The sequence below is a fragment of the Homo sapiens genome, chromosome 13 (assembly GCF_000001405.40).
Source record: "Homo sapiens chromosome 13, GRCh38.p14 Primary Assembly".
Taxonomy (NCBI): domain Eukaryota; kingdom Metazoa; phylum Chordata; class Mammalia; order Primates; family Hominidae; genus Homo; species Homo sapiens.
In genome coordinates, this window is record NC_000013.11 from 48,885,007 (window position 1) to 48,898,884 (window position 13,878).

Sequence of the window (13,878 nt, forward strand, 5' to 3'; positions counted from 1 at the left end):
CACACACACACACTCTCTCTCTCTCTCTATATATATATATATGTATACATAGTGTTAGATATCCTGCAGAATGCAAACCAACAAAGAACTATTAAATACCTAAAACAAACACAGGTTCTTCTTTCCCTTGAAGCTTCTTTTTTGATTCTTTGATTGAAAACTTGGGCCAGATAAAAAGGAAGCACAGAACTACAAGTCATCACCCACAAAATGTTTCATTCTCTGACTTCACAGCTGTAAAGGCACCTGGGAAAGATGAAGAGAAACAGGTAGAAGAGTGACAGTTTAAAAAAAAAATCCATCCATTTAAGTAATCTGAAATGAATTAAAAGAGTCACATATGTTAAAATGCAATTCACATCCAAAAATGTTCCCTTTGTGGAAATTGTAATTATGGCGTTCTGACCACAAGACTTTTGTCTTGTTTAGTTTTGTTTTGGGAGCACCTCACAGGATTAGGTTAACTAGGAACACACACTGGGAAACAACTGCACTAAGTTTTCAAGAAAGGATTATGTTCTCTGCATCATTCAGGAGCAGTACTCATGCATTTCAGGAAGGTTTCCATCCCTATCAGACATACCTGGCTGTATATCAAAAGTCCATGCTCCTCTTTCATACAGGGTAGAGTTGCTGCTAAAAAGTGGGTGAGCAGCTAGGGACTCTATTTCTGCCAGCTCCTCCCCCACCTTTGCAGCTTGATGCAGTCTTGCAATTAAATCTTAGCAAAGGAAGGGATGTTCACCAGCATGAGGTCCCCGCCACAATCCTTAGTGTTCTTTATTCCTCTGCTACGTGAATGTTGACATTCAGGGCAACCTTGGAAGCCTCTCACTGAAGATGGCAGAGCCTCCATCTGATTTCGTCTCTGAATGATTGTGTCGAGCGGAGCACTTCCCCTGCTCCCACAGCAAACACACACACAGACACATACATATGTACTACCACCACCACCACCTCCACTTGACCTACAACTGTGCTGTACTCTTAAGTGAGCATAAAATAACTGTCTATTTTGTGAAGCCCTAAAAGGCTAAAGTAAAATGAGGTTGGTATTTGGAACGGTAACTTGTAGTTAGATCTATGCTTTGGGGAGGGCAGTGCCCTAGGCCCCATGGTGATATTGATGCTGCACCTTATACTTCTAATTTGGAGCATTATTAAAATTCAATTTTCAAATTTCTCTCTTGAATAAAGATAACCCAAGGGAGCCTATAAAGGATGCTGACAGGGTGATTCCTTTCAAGTGTGATTATCTTAGGAGTTTGCACTAATAGTGTTGCCCAAGACCCCTCATGCTTTAAAAGATCCAGACTTTAGTTATTTGAAAAACCCATCACACTCTCTGGATGTGCCAGATAAATTAACTTTTTGCTAGATATGTCTATTCATTTTGTAGTTGTGAAAACCTCTTGATCTCTGGAAATCTCATTTGAACAGTACTTGATTCAGCAAATGTTAATTGAGCACCTACTACGTGTCCAGAGCAGCAATCATCAAACATCAAATACACAAGAGACTTGAAAGCCATGTTCCTAGGCTAAGCTGGGAAGCCCACCACATTCATCTGTAGTGCCAGCCATGAAGCATAGCACCTTTGTCCTGACATCTGGCTGTCCCTCTACCCACTTCCCTACATCGATGACCTGTAGTACAAGCGTAGCCTCTCTAAATTCTGGCTGCCACAATTAAATAGAGTGTAGAGTGGTGTATGAAAATATCAGCAGAGTGAACTTTAAAGCAAGCTCTTCAGACCTGGGTCCTCAGGTACAGTAGTCCAGGCTCCCTCCTAATGTTTGAAGAGCTTGAAGTTGTATATAGTACCAATAGAGGCCCACGTTTCATATATCTAAATATTTTAAAGTTATTGAGCAAACTAGCAAACTGTTAAAGTAACCTCCTACCTTGGTAAATACACCTTCATAACAACTTGGAAGTCCAAGTTCAAATGTAGGATTCTTAGGCTCCATAGCATTCTGCATTGGAACTTGATGGTGAAGGTGAAATTTTTCCCAGCCATTCCATTTCTCTGCCTATCCTCAGCTGCAGACCCCACCAAGAACGCCTCATGTGTTGATGTGTGGATACGGCAGTCTACATCCAGCTCTGTCTCCAAACCCCTGCAAACAACTGGCCCTTGGTTACCCCCCAGGCCTGGATGAAAGGGGAGTCTACTCTTTGGAGGACAAACTAGAATAGAAACTCATGCAGGCCCAGAGCATGATGTTTCAAGGGGCACTATGTTTCTGAGTGAGACTATCCCCATGGTCCTGTGGGAAGGGACATAGCCAGAGCAGGGCCCTACTGGGGCCTCTAAAGCATGGATCCCAAGGCAGGTGCCTTTCTTGCCTTACCTAAGGGTAGTTCTGCGCCCACCCTCCCTCAGAATCACCGAGAAAAACAACTCCTATTCAAATAAGTTTGAGAAACACTGGATATTGCACAGCCTTCTTGGAAATTTATAGTTAAATTAGTATGATGTCTTAGCTTGGGCTGCCATAACAAAATATCATCAATTGGGTGGCTTAAAGAACAGACGTTTATTTCTCACCATTCTGGGGGCTAGGCAGGTGCTGGCTGATTTGGTTCCTGATGAGGGCTCTCCTCCTGGCTTGTAGATGGCCACCTTTTCACTATGTCTTCACATGGCAAAGAGAGAGCTCTGGTCTCTCTTTCTCTTCTTATAAGAACACTAAACTCATCATGGGGGCCCCACCCTCATGACTGCATCTAAACTGGATCACATTGCAAAGGCTCCACTTCCAAATACCATCATATAGGGAGTAAGAACTTCAACATATAAATTTTAGAAGGACACAAACATTTAGTCCACAACACAAAGGAAAGAGAGAGGACTGATGCAAAGAAATCAGTTTAACTTTAACTCAGTATCATCCACACATATTTCTTTATGAAATTTTTTTTGAAGTTTGGTGGATTTTCCATAAAAAACACTAGTATTCGTGCTAAACCACTAGAATCTTAAATCAGTCATCACCTTTGGCTCTATCCTCTCGGCCACTGGCTATTTCACCAATACGGTACCTCGCTTTAGTCTCTGCTGATGGTGATAAATACCATCAATAAACCTTGTTTCTAGATTTCCTTTTCTGTCATCCTCAGACCTGTCCTCCTATTAATAAAAGTCCTAACAATTTGCACAATTTCCAGAGTACCAGTCAAGGATGTTTTATTCACATTACCAGTCAAGCATGTTTTATTCACATTTACCAAAGTGATAACTGCAATATCGCCCCATCTTAACAACCAAGCAGGTGAAGCTGTGATTGACTTTTAAATGCAATCACTAAGCAAGTGGCCAAAACTCTGACTTCATAGAATAGACTCAAAACAACTCTCTGAGTTCACTTTTCTTCTCTCCTTATCATTTTACTTTGCTTTTCTTTTAATTTGGACATAAGTGCAGCCTGGTGAGTAAGATTATAAATGAAAAATTCAGGAATGCAAAATTGAAAATTAGATAAAAGCTATGGTTTTCTGTAGCCTAAAACGAATTCTCCAATTCCTTTTTTTTCCATTTCTCCCACCCTTTAAATTGCAGGCTGTTATGAAGATTTACTTAGCATTTATAAAATCTAGAAGAGCAATAAGAGTAGAAGTATTGCATAAAAGCCAAGAGAAGGGTTTCATGTTGAAGAACAATCACAGTGCGTACTTTTGTTTACTAGGAAAAATATAAAGGATTCCCAGAAGGCTAGTACTAAAAGTTAGTCGCTATTAATTCCAGTTGAAGCCATCCTCACAGCTGCCCTTATTACTCTGCTGAAAGCTCCCAAGTGTTCCAGCCACGCCGTTGCTGTGGTGACTGCTGCAACCACTTGCTCATTTCAGCTAAAAAACATATTCAGGTTGTCAGCCTGTGCCACTAGCTGATTTTGGCTCAGAACATTAAGGTCACTGACATTGCCTTCTCAACGCATGTTATCAATTGAACCTGCTGCAGTAAGAGAAAGTTGAGACAGAATTGTTGTCTAGGCCAGGAGCCAGTCAGGGTCTTAGGGGATGACAACGTCCTTGGTCATCTCATTTAGAGTCTAATCCTCAACTTCACAGCCAGAAGGTCAGTTCTGTGGGTATATGTAGGGAGAGCTGGGCTCTAGGGTGCTGATTAACATTAATCAAATTAATGCAAGAATAATACATAAACTAGAATGTTCATCATTTTCCGTTATAAAACATATTTATATATAAAATATAATCAAGAATCACAAAATATAATCAAGAGTACCAGAATTCCCATGCCCATGCATCAGTAAATTCTCTGCATGATACTTACAAAGCCAAATTTGAATGAGAAGGTTGCTTAGTTATCTGGAAACCAAAGCCAGGGTGAAAAACAAAACTATTTTGGTGGCTGTCATCATGAAACCCAACAACTCTGCCTCACCATTTTCCAAGTTCACTGTAGTTTATTTCCCTGTGTAATCCATCTTGCATTAGGACAAAAACCAACTAAGTCAGCTGTATCTTTAGACTAATATATAGCCATACTCCTCTGAGTTGATAGCTCGAATACTTTAATTTAGTTTTAGGTATTCCTCAAACTCTCCAGGCTCCCATTTATAAATCATTGCTTAAAATGCTTTGGTTCTGCAGATGGCTGGTGTCAGATTGACTTTTTCTAATACAGCCTTATGTTCAATTTTGGGGAAGCCTATATCATATACAGAAAACAGTTCAATGTTTCAAATTGTAGAAAGAAAATCAGGAAGACATTATAGAGAAAAGACTTAGTACCAGTTTGATATTGGATCTCTGGTGAGGCATTTGATTTTTAATATTTATTATCATATCCTAATATGTTCTGAAAGATGAAAGACAGTCATCATTTATGGTAGGCAGGATTCTAAGATGGCCTCCAAGATTCCCACCTCCTAATAAATAGGCCCTGCCATAGTTCCATCCTCTTGAATGTGGGCAGGACCAGTGACTATGATGAGATATCACTCCCATGATCAGGTTCCTATTCAGTTGACTTTGAGTTAATCAAAAGGGAAACTAACCTGGGTGGGCCTACCTAATCTGGTGAGCCCTTTAAAAGGTGAAGCAGCAGAAAGATGCTCTATTGCTGGCCCAGAAGGAAATAAACAGCCATGCTGTGAACTGAACTGCCTATGGAAAGGGCCATGAAACATACCATTACTCCAACATTTGTGCCTCCTCATATTTCATCTCTGTCCATTCTTCCAAAGAACTTAAACTCTATATGATAGCAGAAAAATAGTAAAATTTTTATACGTCATTGGAAAGAGAACGTTGAATATATGGTTGTCCTGAAAACATTTTTTAAAATGCTATACTTTGTCATATTTCCTTCCAAAAACCAGCTGTCTGGTATGAAGTCCAGAGCTGAGTTTTGAGACAGAGGCAAAAAAGAACCAAATTCCCTACAGTAATATAGTGAGAGAGAAGTTGAGCTTTAGGAATAAGAAGAGAGTTCAATAAGATAGTGAAAAAGAGGTCTGTGAAGGACAGAGCCAGTGAGAAATTTACTTGAGCAGGAATGGCCAAAGAACTTGTAAGATCAGGAGCGCTCAACATCTGTTTTAAGTTGTTTGCTGTGATGTAACCCCCCTCCACCGACTCAGATCAGTGGGGCTTCAGAGGATGAAGGAATCGGGCAGTTCCTAATAGGGTGTAATGCTAGGGGGAAGAGGTGGACAACATATGTAGGGGATAATAAGAAGAGAGGTGAAAAAGAATTCAGATGAAGCAGAAGTTTTGATTCAGAAATGACTTGAAATATAAACTCCCTAAACCATGAGAGATATTTCAAGGCTTCTGGGACACCCATCATAAGTAGAAGAGGATTTTGAACCATTTTAATTTGAAAATTATAATGAAACAGATGAGCCACTAATGCTGGAGGACTTAGGAACTCCCAGACAGTTGACATCAGCTGAAGCAGATGGACCCACTGTGTGATGGTGCAGCTCTCTTCCCACCTTCCTAATCTCGGCACCTGTGGCTGCATTCCTCAGTGGAAAGCAACACTCACAGTGGCAAGAGGAGGGGCATTTTAAACTTCCTTTTGTGGGAAGAACACTTCTGTGCTGAGACCAAAAACGTGGTGCAAGACGAAGGATGCCATGTCACCATCATTGGGTGCGCCCCTGACCACAGAAGATCAGGATCAGTTCTCCCGTTTAGAACCCATCATTCAACTGCTAAAGACCAATCACCCATCATCCAAGTTGGACTACATTAGATTGATAAGAAGAAGCTTCACTGCAGGCAGTGGAGATGAGGGGTATTAACTCTGATGTGAAAGTCCATGCAAGACATTTAAAAAGCTCTCTCCACATTCTCATCTCAGGTAATGGTGTCATTACCTGATGTCAAGATGAACCTATTGCTCCCATTAAGACTAGTGAGTCAAACTTTGGAATAACACCATCAGACATTGCACTTCTTTTCATGCCCATCTTATCAATACTTCATAAAATATCAAACTCCTCTCCCACAAGACTCCTAGGGTTGTATTTTTTGGGCAGTGATTCTGAATAATCTTGTGCTTAAAAAAAGACTCAGATCCAGATAATAAAATGATAGAAGCTCTTGCTGAATAACCTCAAACATGTAAAAAGCAAACTAGGCAGTAAACTTCATGAGGACAGAGACCCTGGTTGTGTCTGGTTGGCCATCATCTCTCAGGTCTTAGCACAGTGCCTGACAAATAGCAGGCCATGATGACTCGGCCTCTTTATGCTTCCTGAATGTCAGGATTCATTTGCGTGGTCTGGTCTCCAGTCTTCTGGCTGTCTCTGTCTCCCTGAAGATGCCCAGGACAAAAGGCTACACAGCTGCCCTGGGCCGCTGAGTCATCTCCCTATCAGGAAATTGTTTCTGCCTTAGCTAAATAGGTAGGCAATTTTCTGCCCATTTCAGACAGAAAACCTAAGTTTAAAAAAGATTAAGTGAATAGCTCAAGGTCATATGCAAACTCTGGCCCAGTTAGGAATAGAACCCAAGTGGTTCCTGACATTCAATCCTATGGTTACTTTTGCAGAGGTGCCTATCTTTGTAATTTACAGATATTGTTCCCAAATTGCTCACTGAAAATTCTGCCTAAATATTGAAGGTAAAACAGCTTTATGTGTCCAATAGAGAGAGAAAGAGTATATATAAAATGAAATTTTTCCCACATGAGGAATGAATCACTGTAAGGAACATTTGTTCAGTTGTTTCATTATAAAATAAGAGCATTCCTCCTGGCTGCCACAAAATCCAAATGCTCCATTTTGTTACTAAACACTCCTTCTAACACCAAGCCAAAAATAAGTCACAATGTTAATGCAAACATCTTGCAAGCAAATAAAAGGACTTGTGCCAAATTTATCAGAGTTAGAGGGAAATTGTGTCAGACCTGTCTATGAGAAACTTTCTATTAGATCACCAGTCAATAGGATACCAGCATCTGCTGATCCTGACTGAAAGACATGAGTAATAACAGACAACTTTAGAAAATACATTTTTCTTCCATAGTTAGCAATGCATGACTCACTAGAACTCTCCAGACACTATACTGCATGAATGACTCAAAATTCTACCAAGGACAGAGCACAATCAGTTCTCTCTTCCTGTGCCAGGATTTCTCGTTCCAATTATACTGATTCGTTAGCTTACTTCAAAGACAGAAAATCTTGGTCCATTATCTTTCCTCTTTCAAAAACAGTCATGTATATTTTAATATAAAGACAATTATTAGGGTGCTACAGGAAAACAGAGACTAAACATAATAGCGAATGCTGAAAGCAATCTTCAATTGGTTCAACTCTCATCATTTGGGAGAATGGGTTGGGCAATGACCATGGTTAAGTTTCTTCTGGAAGATTGACCAATGAGAAGAGGTTGTTGCAATACAAGAAATATCGTATTGTGTCACACCAAGAGCCTGCTCATCCAAATCTTCAGTAGCTGATAGTGGTATCAAGGATATTTTGAGAAATATTTCAGTAGTTACTCTCCACGACAGAGGCCTTGTTTCTTTCAAATAACTGTTTTCCTCAATAATTGCAAAAGCCTCCCAGTGAAAGTGCACACCTCTAGGCTCTTTCCTTTTCATTCTATTCTTGGCATTCCATCTCCAGTTTAATATTATTGAAGGATAATTCTGATAATGACATCAACGTAGCATAGTGACTAAGAGAATAGGTCTTGGAATTAGGCCACCCGGCCACCAATTAATTTTTTTTTCTTTCTTTCTTTTTTTTTTTTTTTTTTTTTTTGAGATGGAGTCTCTCTCTGTTGCCCAGGCTAGAGTGCAGTGGTGCAATCTTGGCTCACTGCAACCTCCGCCTCCCCAGGTTCAAGCGATTCTCCTGCCTCAGCTTCCCAAGTAGCTGGGACTACAGGCACCTGCCCCCACACCTGGCTGATTTTTGTAGTTTTAGTAGAGATGGAGTTTCACCATGTTGGCCAGGCTGGTCTCAAACTCCTGACCTCAGGTGATCCATCTGCCTCAGCCTCCCAAAATGCTGGGATTACAGGAGTGAGCCACCACACTTGGTCATCACCAATTATGTTTTTAACCTCTTCATGCCTCAGTTTTCTTATCTGTGACATGGAGTTTGTGAGATGCTTGAATAACTTTTAACTTTGTGTTAAAAATGAGTGTGTAAGCAAACAGAGCATTCATGGTTAAGAGAATAGGTTCTAGAATGACATTTGGGGTTAAATATGTTGGTTCTGCCATTTAACTGTCTGCAAGGCTGAACCAGTTACCTTATTCTGTATAGCAAATCACCCCCAAAACTTTCTGGCTTATGACAGCAATAATCATTTTTTTTGTCTTCCACAGTTTCTGTAGGTCAGATTTGGGGAGCAGCTTGGCTGGGTGGTCTTGGACACAAGGTTTCTCATGAGGTTGCAGTCAGATATTGGCTAGGGCTACAGTCATCTGAAAATTAGACTGGGGTTGGAAGATCTACATTTAAGGCAGCTTACTCACATGACAAGTTGGTGGAGGTTATGGGCAGGGAGATTAATTTCCTTTCACATGGACCTCTCCACTGGTTGCTTGAATGTTCTGATGACATGGCAACTGGCTTACCCCACAGTGACCCAGGAAAGCAAAGCAGCTCCAATGCCTTTATGGCTTCACCTTGCAATTTATATCCCATCAACTCTGCCATGTTCTACTGGTCACACTGTCCACCCCAGATTTAATGTGAAAGGGGACTACTCAAGGCACTGACACCAGAATGTGAAAATCACTGGCAGCTATCTTGGAAAATGACTACCACAAAGATATTGAGCGAGCTACTTTTAGCTCTTTAAACCTTAGTCTCCTTATTCGCGAAATACAGACAATAACAATATACTTATTTCATAGGGGTGTTATGAGAATTGACAAGATGATACATGTAAAGTACTTGGTACCTACTAATTACTCAAAAAAATTACTTATTATTATTATTATAATCCAGTAATAATCAAACTATTCCAGGGGCTGCAATGAGGAAAAGGGTTTTACTTCCGGGGAGTAGATAAAACTGTAAATCTTCCCCGTCTTCTGCCTCATTCTTATTTCTTTCAGTTGACTTCATTTTGTCTCATATGTATTAGGCTTCCTCATAAGCTTTTCATTTGAAGAAAGGATTATTCAGCTTTTTAAAAAAGAAAACTACATTTAAAAAATAAAAGTGTTATTGATCATTATTTATTTCAAGCAGTAAGAATTTTAGTAAAGATAAATGTGTGAATGTATCTTTATAATTTCCATATAGATAGCATTACCTAGCTAATTAGTGATATAGTATGGCTGGAAAGCAGAGAATATCAGATTGTATAAAAGACCACCTAGTCCAGTGTTAAAACCCTTAAGGCTATTAACCCATTTCCACAGCAGTCAGATGGAAGACCTGACATTTGAGGTTGTTGGGTGAATGTATTAGGTAAACTCTTGCACATTCCAAAAGTTGATTTATTCACCATGGTATGTACTCAAGCACTTACTTTCTATGTGCCCTTGTCTAACTGCTGGCTATATATTAGTGAACAAGGTGAATAAACTTCCAGTTTCCATTGAGCTCTCATTTTGTGAAGGAAAAGACAAGGAATAAACAAATAAATGAACACTGTAATTTCAGGCAGTGATAAATGCTATAATAATGAAAAGCAATGATGTGGTAAAGTGACCAAGCAGTTGGAAGACTGGTTTAGCTAGGATGGTCAAGGCAGTGTTCTACAAGAAGATGACATTTGAGCTGAATTTTGAACAATGACAAGGAATCAGCCATATCAGCAATTGACAGAGGAATTCCTAGATATGTACTAACATGGCACCTTGGGAAGCCTGAGCCATCAGGTGACCTCATTCCAATGGAAATCTTACTATTTACTAAAGTTACTGAAATTTGGTTTGAAAGATATTCTGAATAGACTTCTTTCCCTTTGATGATGCATCTTCATAGAGACATTTGGCTAAAGTTGCTGATTAGAGACAATATTTCTGACAAAAAACAATGGAATTGCTGATAGATGGTGTGACTGAGACCAATGCCTCCAAGTTAAAAACCAGTTCAATCTGGGCCACTTTGAAAATATCCTAGAATATCTGAAGGATCAACTTAAGCCTATTTTTCATGGGCTTAAGTTGAAAACAGAAGTCAATACATAGAGGACCCAAGTATAGAACAGATAACATATGCATTCTTGTCTAGTTTCCCTAAGATTTTTCAACCTTCTTTTCACCACCAACCTATACACTTAGAAAGGAGGGGAAGGGGTGTCAAGAAAGAGAAATAAATGAAACATAAAAGACTTAAGGAGGAAAGGAGTAACTACAAAGTAAAATCAAATCTGGAAGGCTGAGGCGGGCAGATTGCTTGAGCCCAAGAGTTAGAAACAAGCTTGGGCAACATAGGGAAAGCCCATCTGTACAAAAAGTACAAAAAATTAGCCAGGTATGGTAGCATGCATCTGGAGACACAGCTATTGGGGAGGCTGAGGTGGGAGGACCCCTTGAGCCTGGGAAGTAGATGTTGTAGTGAGCTGTGATGGTGCCACTGAACTCCACCTTGGGCAACAGAGTGAGACTCCGTCTCAATTAAAAAAAAAAATCAAATCACATTAGAGTTGGAAGAGACCTTAGAGATGGTCCTGTCCGACCCCCTCAGGTTATACATGCACAAACCAAGGCACAAAGAAATTAGGCAACTTCTCAAAGGTACACAGTCAATAGCTAAGTGGCACCCTCACACACCAATGGGAAGAAGAGGTGATAGGGGTGTTCCCTTACTTCCCGTACAGCCTCGGCTTCATATAAGGTGAACGAGGGCCTCTCCATCCTGAATTCTGGGAATGCTCCACCCCTACTTCCCACTCTCAGCAGGTAAAATGCCCTGATCTGTAGAAGAATTGAGTTTGAGTTGCCTGTGAAACATCTACATAGAGATTGCCCAGGAAGCTATTGGACATAAGGGTAAATAACTTAGGAGCAAGATCTCAGCAAAGATGTGGATTCATGAGTCATCAGTGTACAGCTGAAGATAGGTCCAATTACAATACTTCCTGTTTTTACATTATGAATCTGAGACCCAGAAATGTGATGTAACTTGACTGGGGCCATATTAGTAGGTACAGAGCAGGGATTTAGAACCTAGTCTTCCTGACTCCCATGTCTGTGCCCCTTCCAAGAGGGCTTGCTGATATGACTATGTGCTCTGATGAGGAGTGGTAGGAAGGTGTTACAGCAGAGCAATGCTCTTTTAATTTCAATTGCATATTTCTATTTCTAATATATAGCTAAACATAAATATGTCTAATGTGGGTGGCTATACACATTTTGCAGCTTATGCAGCCAACAAATTGCCTACTGACAGGCAACCAGCCACTCACCCTTGTCCTTTGGATATGATTCCAACAAGAAACTCTGTAAAGCTGAGAGAAATCTCATAATGCCTTCCAGATAGTCCCTTCTGGGTCCTGTAATCTAACCAAAAGAGTGCAAGATGCCTGCCAGGTACTGTAATTGGGCCTATCTTTAGCTATCAACTGATGATTTCTTTTATAGGAACCTGGTGACTCCTGACTGTGCTACCCAAGAAGACTGTGTGGAAGGAAGCAGCAGACATCAGCATGTCCATTGCACCAAGACTGGAAGCCCAACCAGTGATTTCTGTAGCAATTTCTGAAGTTGCTGAGCAAGTGGATTGAGAGCTTTTAAGATAACTCTATACTGAGTATCAAACAAAGACCAGAAAACACCTAAGAGTGAATTACTCGTTTCAGCTGCATTATTTTATGGTTTTTAGGACACAATGGAAAACAATGGAAGCTCCACAGCTATTAATTAAAAACTTTGGGGATACCACCAAGAACTTCCCAGGTACGTAATGGTTGGTCCACTGTTCACCCTTCCTTGTTCAAAAAGGATTTCCTGAGCACCTTCTCTGATGCTTGCCTTCCCTCCCTATAGTCTTTTGGTCCTCTCTTTTCTGTGTCTTTGCTTCAAGCCTAAGGAGCTTTTCCCCAGACCTTTATTTTATTTTATTTTATTTTATTTTATTTTATTTTATTTTAGATGGAGTCTTGCTCTGTTGCTCAGGCTGGAATGCAGTGGCATGATCTTGGCTCACTGCAATCTCCAGCTCCTGGGTTCAAGTGAGTCTCCTGCCTCAGCCTCCTGAGTAGTTGGGATTACAGGTGCCCACCATCACACCCAGCTAATTTTTGTATTTTTAGTAAAGATAGGGTTTCACCATGTTAGCCAGGATGGTCTCGATCTCCTGACCTCATGATCCTCCCACCTCCCAAAGTGCTGGGATTATAGGCATGAGCCACAGCACCCAGCTCCCCAGACCTTTCAATATTAACCTAAGACCCAAAGGGTGAGAAATTTATCATTGTTAATACCTTTATTTCTCCTGCAACTCTCAACCACCCCGCTTTCTCTGATACTACATTCCTCTTGCTCATTTCCTGCCTTTCTGATGGCTCTTCTCTGCTCCTGTCATCAACAACCATTCTTTATGCCCTTTCTATAGGACATTTCCCAAGGCTGTTGCATTGGGTCTATTTTCTAAAATTCTTACACTTAATTCCTTGGTGATCTCATCAATTTCGCCCTTGCCCCAACCCAGCTTTAACTATTTGAGGATGACTTCCAAATCCACATCTTCAGTCCTGAACTTCAAGTCATATACATTTTCTAATGCCTGATAAATAATTCTACTGAAAAGTGCTACCAGCACCTCTAACTTAAAAACAAGACTTTTTTATTGTTGACAATAGACCATCCACGATTCTACCCATCCAGACTTGGAACCTTAGAGCCATGGCACCATTCGTTGTAATTTTAATCTCCTGAGTTCACTGTGTGGAGAATAGTATCAACTTCTTAGATGAATTCACAGCTCTACATCTATCTTTCCTACCCCTATCTTTACACTTAATCCAGTCCCAACCTCTCTTTCTTGCCTCACCACTCACATTTCTGTCTTCCCTCCTACCCTAATCCTTTCACCCTACTCTTCCACTTGTGTTGTACCTTGGATTATATTACTCTTTTCTCTTTCATTCCAATATCTTTCCCTTCCCCTTAAAGAGCATTTCTCATCTCTAACTGATAAGATAGGACCCATTCTCAGACCCATCTCAAGTAACATACGCCCAGAAATGGTAAGTTTCCTCCAGTGTGCAGCCACCTATGAGAGAAGATGTAATTTCCTGTCCAAATGCCTTCTCTCTCACTCTCCAAGTTAGTCTACCTCCTGCCCCGGAAATTCTACTTCCTTAATGCTTCTTAAATCTATCCATTTTCCTTTATCTCCTTTACAATACTTTTGTCCAAGTCACTACTGTTTTCACCTAGGCTACTAACATGGCCTTCTGGCTGACCTCCTGGGTCCTCTT

General features: G+C 40.5%; 1 long non-coding RNA gene across 1 annotated transcript in view; it reads left to right on the plus strand.

The window, feature by feature from the left end:
• Positions 1 to 12,429, plus strand: part of LOC107984559 (uncharacterized) — a 32,511-nt gene extending 20,082 nt beyond the window's left edge. Inside the window, exon 3 of the long non-coding RNA XR_001749987.2 lies at positions 12,038 to 12,429. This is a non-coding gene — a long non-coding RNA (uncharacterized LOC107984559). The remainder of the gene's footprint in view (positions 1 to 12,037) is intronic.
• Positions 12,430 to 13,878: the final 1,449 nt, after the last annotated feature.